At 53.7% G+C, this 6936-nt stretch overlaps 1 annotated feature.

Annotated features, from left to right (window-relative positions):
- Positions 2176 to 2376: a silencer, noted in NCBI's record as "peak3284 fragment used in MPRA reporter construct". NCBI's record gives its function as "represses an SCP1 promoter by STARR-seq MPRAs in K562 erythroleukemia cells {active_cell/tissue: K562}" and the evidence as "EXISTENCE:reporter gene assay evidence [ECO:0000049][PMID:32103011]".

A 6936-nucleotide genomic window follows, 5' to 3' on the forward strand; every position in this document is an offset into this window, starting at 1 on the left:
AATATCTGAAGACTGTGAGCTCCCACCCTCTCCCTTCTTCCCACCACTCAGGATGACCAGAGTGCAGGGGCCTCTGGTTACACTGCAGATAATGAGGGGCCTCTGTCGCTAGGCCCACCACAAAATGAGCTTGCAGGAGAACGCGACAGCTAATGTCATTATTTACTTCACTGAGCTAAATAATCTAGGGAATTGCTCATCAGGACCTGATAATTTGATTGGATTTCATGCACAATTAGGTCTTCAGAGCTGAGGCATTAGTCGGCGAGTTCAGGAAAGACACCAACCTCCCTGCTGGAGAGGCTCAAGGTAAGGGGACAACGACGGAGATCCCCAGCCCCAGGAAAGGGTCAGGCGTGCAGGCCAGAGGGAGGCCTGAATTGGCCAAATTCAGTGGATCCAGCCTAGGCTGGAGCTGGAGACCCACCAGTCATAGTCAACTTGACATTGCTTACTTACGAGTTGGTTGATATTAGCAGAATTATTATTATTATTATTATTATTTGAGATGGAGTCTTGCTCTTTTGCCCAAGCTGGAGTGCAGTGGCGCGATCTTGGCTCAGTGCAATCTCCGCCTTCTGGATTCAAGCGATTCTCCTGCCTCAGCCTCCCGGGTCGCTGGGATTACAGGCACCCGCCACCATGCCTGGCCAGGAGAATGATATCACGGGAGAAACAACCATAGTGAACACAGTTAGGTTTGGTCACTTTTGCTTGAGATGTTTATTTTTCTTCTTACATGAAAGAATTCAAGATGACCCCTTAAAATCTAAGTCAGGGCCAGGCTCAGTGGCTCACATCTGTAATCCCGACACTTTGGGAGGCCGAGGAGGGTGGATCACCTGAGGTCAGGAATTTGAGACCAGCCTGGCCAACATGGTGAAACCCCATCTCTACTAAAAAATACAAAACTTAGCCAGGCAAGGTGGCAGGCGCTTATAACCCCAGCTACCCTGGAGGCTGAGGCAGGAGAATCGCTTGAACCTGGGAGGCAGTGGTGGCAGTGAGCCAAGATCATGCCACTGCATTCCAGCCTGGGTGACAGAGTGAGACTCCATTTCAAGCAGAAGAAGAAAAAAATCTAAGTCAGATCTGTCCTTCTCCTGCCTACAGCCCTCTGGCTCCCACCTCCCTCCAGGTCAAAGCTCAAGTCCTCCCAGAGGCCCACCAGGCTCTTTACAACCTTTCCTGCCCCCTTCCTGCCCTCCCCTCCTCCCTCTCTTCGCCTCGTTCACTCTGCCCCAGCCAGACGGGCCTCTTCACTGTCCCTCCAACACCAATACACCAGGTGCGGTCCTGCTCCAGGGCCTTTGCATGGGATGCACCCTCTTCCCAGAACAGCTGTGCCCCCAGATCCCCTCAGAGTTGTCTCATTTTCCTGTTCTAGGTCTCAGCTTAAACGTCACCTCCTCAGAGAAGCCATTCCTGGCTAAAATAACTTCATCCCCACCATTTGCTATGACGTCATCTTGTTAAATTATTACCTAGGCTCAGCACCCCAATCCAAAAATCCAAAATCCAAAATCCAACATGCTCCAATTGAAAATGCTTTGACCGACGAGTTAATGGGTGCAGCACACCAGCATGGCACATGTATACATATGTAACTAACCTGCACATTGTGCACATGTACCCTAAAACTTAAAGTATAATAATAATTTAAAAAAAAAAAAAGAGAAAATGCTTTGACCGCCGACATGGCACTCAAAGGTAATAAGGCTCCTTGCAGCATTTCAGATTTTGGATTTTCAGATTAGGGATGCTCAGCTGGCAAGTATAATGAAAATATTCTGAAATCCGAAAAAATCCCCAATCCAAAACACTTCTTCACCATGGAAAAATGCTTCTGTTCCAAAGGTTTTTTTTTCTTTTTTCTTTTTTTTTTTTTTTTTTTGAGACGGAGTCTTGCTCTCGCCCAGGCTGGAGTGCAGTGGCGCCATCTCGGTTCACTGCAAGCTCCGCCTCCCGGGTTCACGCCATTCTCCTGCCTCAGCCTCCCGAGTAGCTGGGACTACAGGCGCCCGCCACCACGCCCGGCTAATTTTTTGTATTTTTAGTAGAGACGGGGTTTCACCGTGTTAGCCAGGTTGGTCTCGATCTCCTGACCTCGTGATCTGCCTGCCTTGGCCTCCCAAAGTGCTGGGATTACAGGCGTGAGCCACTGCGCCCGGCCTTTTTTATTTTTTATTTTTTTTGAGGCAGAGTCTTACTCTGTCCCCCAAGCCGGAACGCAATGACGCAATCTTGACTCACTTCAACCTCCGTCTCCTGGGTTCAAGTGAGTCTCATGCCTCAGACTCCCAAGTAGCTGGGATTACAGGTATGCGTCAGCACCCCTAGCTAATTTTTTTTTTTTTTTTTTGAGACGGAATCTCGCTCTGTCACCCAGGCTGGAGTGCGATGGTGTGATTTCGGCTCACTGCAACCTCTGCCTCCTGGGTTCAAGCGATTCTCTTGCCTCAGCCTCCCAGGTAGCTGGGATTACAGGTGCCCACCACCATGCCCAGCTAATTTTTTGTATTTTTAGTAGAGACGGGGTTTTGCCATGTTGGCCAGGCTGGTCTTGAACTCCTGACCTCAGGTGATCCACCCGCCTCGTCCTCCCAAAGTGCTGGGATTACAGGTGTGCGCCACCATACTTTTGTATTTTTAGTGGAGATGGGGTTTCACCATGTTGGCCAGGCTAGTCTCGAACTCCCAACTTCAGGTGATCTGCCTGCCTCAGACTCCCAAAGTGCTAGGATTACAGGCATGAGCCACTGCATCCAGCCATCCCAAGCATTTTGGATAAGGGATTCTCAGCCTGTTTTATCCCAGGGACCAGTGTCTGGTGCCCCCACTCTCTTCCCAACTCTGAGCTCCCCAGGATTGTCCCTCTGTCCCAGCCCTGACCCCTCAGTCAGTGTCCAGCTGTGTCCAGTTTTACTTCTCCACAGCCTGGTGGCTCCTCATGAGCCAAACCAAGACGGAGGACTCTCTGGGCCCCAATGCCTGTATTTTGGGGTACATGACCCTGGAGGCCTTTCCTGCGTCATCTCCATCCTATCCCCTCCACAGCACCCATTCCAACATGAGCCACAGGACAATCTTGCCATGTCCAAGTGCACTGACTTTATTTCACCCCCACCCGGCCTTTGCCCATGCTGGTCCCTGTACCAGAAACGCTTTTCCCCAAAGCCTTTTCTTCCTGGCAATCAATTGCCTTCAATAGCTTTGCTTCCAGCTCCTCTTTCTGAGCCCCTCTGGCCACTGCCCACCCAGTTCTGGGTTTCTTCCACCCCAGCCTGAACATGAGGGGCTGTGGGGTGGACTCTGGGAGACCCCGAGGCTCCAGCACTGGCCAAGACTGGCCCGAATACCCCATGATGCCTGCTAAAAGAACCCCCAAAAGCTACTCAGGCGATTATGATCCGAACAGCACTCTGAGTGTCTAGGGCTGGCCACATCTCTCTCCCTCTCTCCCAGTTCTCCATGATGATCTCTCCGTCTCTCCTTATCTCTGTGTGTATCTCTGGGTCTCTACACGTCTCTCTGTGTCTACATCTCCCTCTCTCCCTCTCTCTCTCCCTCTCCCCCCTTTCTCCCTCCGTTTCTCTTTCTCTCTCCCTCCTCTTTCCTTCCCCCTCTCTTTCTCTCTCTCCCCTTTCTCATTCTCTCTTTCCCCCTCTCTCCCCGCCCTTTCTCATTCTTCTCTCTCTCTCCCCAGCCCTCTCTTTCTCTGTCTTCCCCCGACCCCCCACCTGGGTCTCTCTGCTTCTGTATCTTTTTGTCTCTGCTCCTCCCATGGGGCACCAGCTTCACCCACCACCTTCTTCCCCACCCCTCCCTCTTCTCCACTTTCTCCCTTCCCCACGCCACTGTGGATCTGGCACTGGCTGGGCACAGGGGGATGGTCTGGCCTTCCTCCCCCACCTCTCCTGTCTCTGCCTCTCCTCTGACTCAGCCTCTCCTCTGTCTCTGCCTCTCCTCTGACTCGGCCTCTCCTCTGTCTCTGCCTCTCCTCTGCCTCTCCCTCTCCTCTGTCTCTGCCTCTCCTCTGTCTCTCCCTCTCCTCTGTCTCTGCCTCTCCTCTGTCTCTCCCTCTCCTCTGTCTCTCCCTCTCCTCTGTCTCTGCCTCTCCTCTGTCTCTGCCTCTCCTCTGTCTCTCCCTCTCCTCTGTCTCTGCCTCTCCTCTGTCTCTCCCTCTCCTCTGTCTCTCCCTCTCCTCTGTCTCTGCCTCTCCTCTGTCTCTGCCTCTCCTCTGTCTCTCCCTCTCCTCTGTCTCTGCCTCCCCTCTGTCTCTCCCTCTTCTCTGTCTCTGCCTCTCCTCTGTCTCTCCCTCTCCTCTGTCTCTGCCTCTCCTCTGTCTCTCCCTCTCCTCTGTCTCTGCCTCTCCTCTGTCTCTGCCTCTCCTCTGTCTCTGCCTCTCCTCTGTCTCTGCCTCTCCTCTGTCTCTCCCTCTCCTCTGTCTCTGCCTCTCCTCTGTCTCTCCCTCTCCTCTGTCTCTGCGTCTCCTCAGTCTCTCCCTCTCCTCTGTCTCTCCCTCTCCTCTGTCTCTGCGTCTCCTGTCTCTGCCTCTCCTCTGTCTCTCCCTCTCCTCTGTCTCTGCCTCTCCTCTGTCTCTGCCTCTCCTCTGTCTCTCCCTCTCCTCTGTCTCTCCCTCTCCTCTGTCTCTGCGTCTCCTCTGTCTCTGCCTCTCCTCTGTCTCTCCCTCTCCTCTGTCTCTGCCTCTCCTCTGTCTCTGCCTCTCCTCTGTCTCTCCCTCTCCTCTGTCTCTCCCTCTCCTCTGTCTCTGCGTCTCCTCTGTCTCTGCCTCTCCTCTGTCTCTCCCTCTCCTCTGTCTCTGCCTCTCCTCTGTCTCTGCCTCTCCTCTGTCTCTCCCTCTCCTCTGTCTCTGCCTCTCCTCTGTCTCTGCGTCTCCTCTGACTCCGCCTCTCCTCTGTCTCTGCGTCTCCTCAGTCTCTCCCTCTCCTCTATCTCTCCCTCTCCTCTGTCTCTCCCTCTCCTCTGTCTCTGACGTTCTATTTCCGTCTCGCAGGCTCTGGGTGCACATCTCCCCCGGGGCTGCCAACCTCTGGGCTCCACACTCCCCACTCTCCTGCGGCACCCCCCTCTCTGCTACTTCCAGATCCCCCACCTGCTCCTGCCTCCCAGGTACTGAGGCAGAGACGGGAGATGGAGTTTATGAGTTTTTTTGAGGCGGGGTCTCGCTCTGTCGTCCAGGCTGGAGCGCCTCATAGTGGTGCGATTATAGCTCACTGCAGCCTCGAACTCCTGGGCTCTAGCAATCCTCCTGCCTCAGCCTCCTGAGTAAATGAGACTACAGTTGCCTGCTACCATGCCAGCTAATTTTTAAATTTTCTGTAGAGATGGGATCTCGTTACATAGCCCAGGCTGGTTTTGAACTCCTGGCCTCAAGGGGTCTTCCCGCCTCAGCCTCCCAAAGCGTTGGGATTCAGGCGTGTGCCAGAACACCTGGCCCAGGGAGATGGAATTCAAATGGATTTTAAGGCTTCACCTTCTCCCTGGCTGGCTGGGGAGGAACAGAGAGGGAAAGGGGCCTCCCCGAGGTCACACAGCACCTGGCCTGGGACCCCCTGCGGCTTTGAGTGGGAGTCCCCACAGGGCTCCGGATTTGAGTTCAGCAGCCCAACCCTTGCTGTGCGATTGGGGGCAGTCAACTCTGCATCTCGGAGCCTCAGTGTCCTCCTCTGTGTAGCAACAATGGCTGTGCCACCTCCATGGGTGACAGTGAAGCCAGCCAACATAGGGAAGGTGCTTCTGACTTTAGAACATGGGAAATTGGAAGCATGGGAACTACTATAGACATCTATTCCCATTCCCAGGAGGTGGCCGGGCGCTGTGGCTCACTCCCAGCACTTTGGGAAGCTGAGGCGGGTGGTGAAACCCCATCTCTACTAAAAATACAAAATTAGCTGGGTATGGTGGCACATGCCTGTAATCCCAGCTACTCGGGGAGCCGAGGCGGGAGACTCACTTGAACCTGGGAGGCGAAGGTTGCAATGAGCTGAGATCGTGCCACTGCACTGCAGCCTGGGCAACAGAGTAAGACTCTGTCTCAAAAAAAAATTATATATATATATTCCCAGGAGGCGGAATGGGAGGATGGGAGGTGGGGAGGGGCCAGCTTTGTGTGAGACCCTCATCCAGAGGGCAAATTTGTTCTGAGAGAGTGCCCAGGGGTGCACAGACTTGGGGTGAGGCGGCTGGGAAGAGCTTGTCTGTTTCACCAAGAAATAAGTGTGAATGCAGGGAGATGGGGGTGGAGGAGAGCACTGGGGTTGCCTAGCAACAGAGATGAAGCTGACAGACAGGATCCAGACCTGCTGTCCAGGGTCTGGGGGGTTTCAAGAAAGGGGGGTGCTGATATTTGGGATCTTGTGTTTTTCTGGCTGAGAAGGTATCCCCACCATGGCCCTCCAAACTTCAGCAGAGTTGACCCCAGACTCAGGGGTCTTAGGGACCCCGGAGCCTAGAACAGAGAGATTCAGTGGTAGCCGGAGATTCATGTACTCGGGAAAGAAGCAGTGGAGACAAAAGCAGACTCGGCCCCCTTTCCAGCCCCGGCCCTGACAGTTGCAGAGATGTTGATGGCTGAGGAGAACCGGATTGCCATTTATGAACTTCTCTCTCTCTCTTTTTTTTTTTTTCTGTGACTTGAGTTTTGCTCTTGTCGCCCAGGCTGGAGTGCAATAGTGTGGTCTCGGCTCACTGCAACCTCCGCCTCCTGGGTTCAAGTGATTTTCCAGCCTCAGCCTCCTGAGTAGCTGGGATTGCACGTGCCCGCCACCACGCCTGGCTAATTTTTATATTTTTAGTAGAGACGGGGTTTCACCATGTTGGCCAGTCTGGTCTCGAAATCCTGACCTCAAGTGATCCCCCCGCCTCAGCCTTCCAAAGTGCTGGGATTACAGGTGTGAGCCCCCGTGCCCAGTC

Source organism: Homo sapiens, chromosome 19, assembly GCF_000001405.40.
Source record: "Homo sapiens chromosome 19, GRCh38.p14 Primary Assembly".
In the NCBI taxonomy this organism is placed as follows: Eukaryota; Metazoa; Chordata; class Mammalia; order Primates; family Hominidae; genus Homo; species Homo sapiens.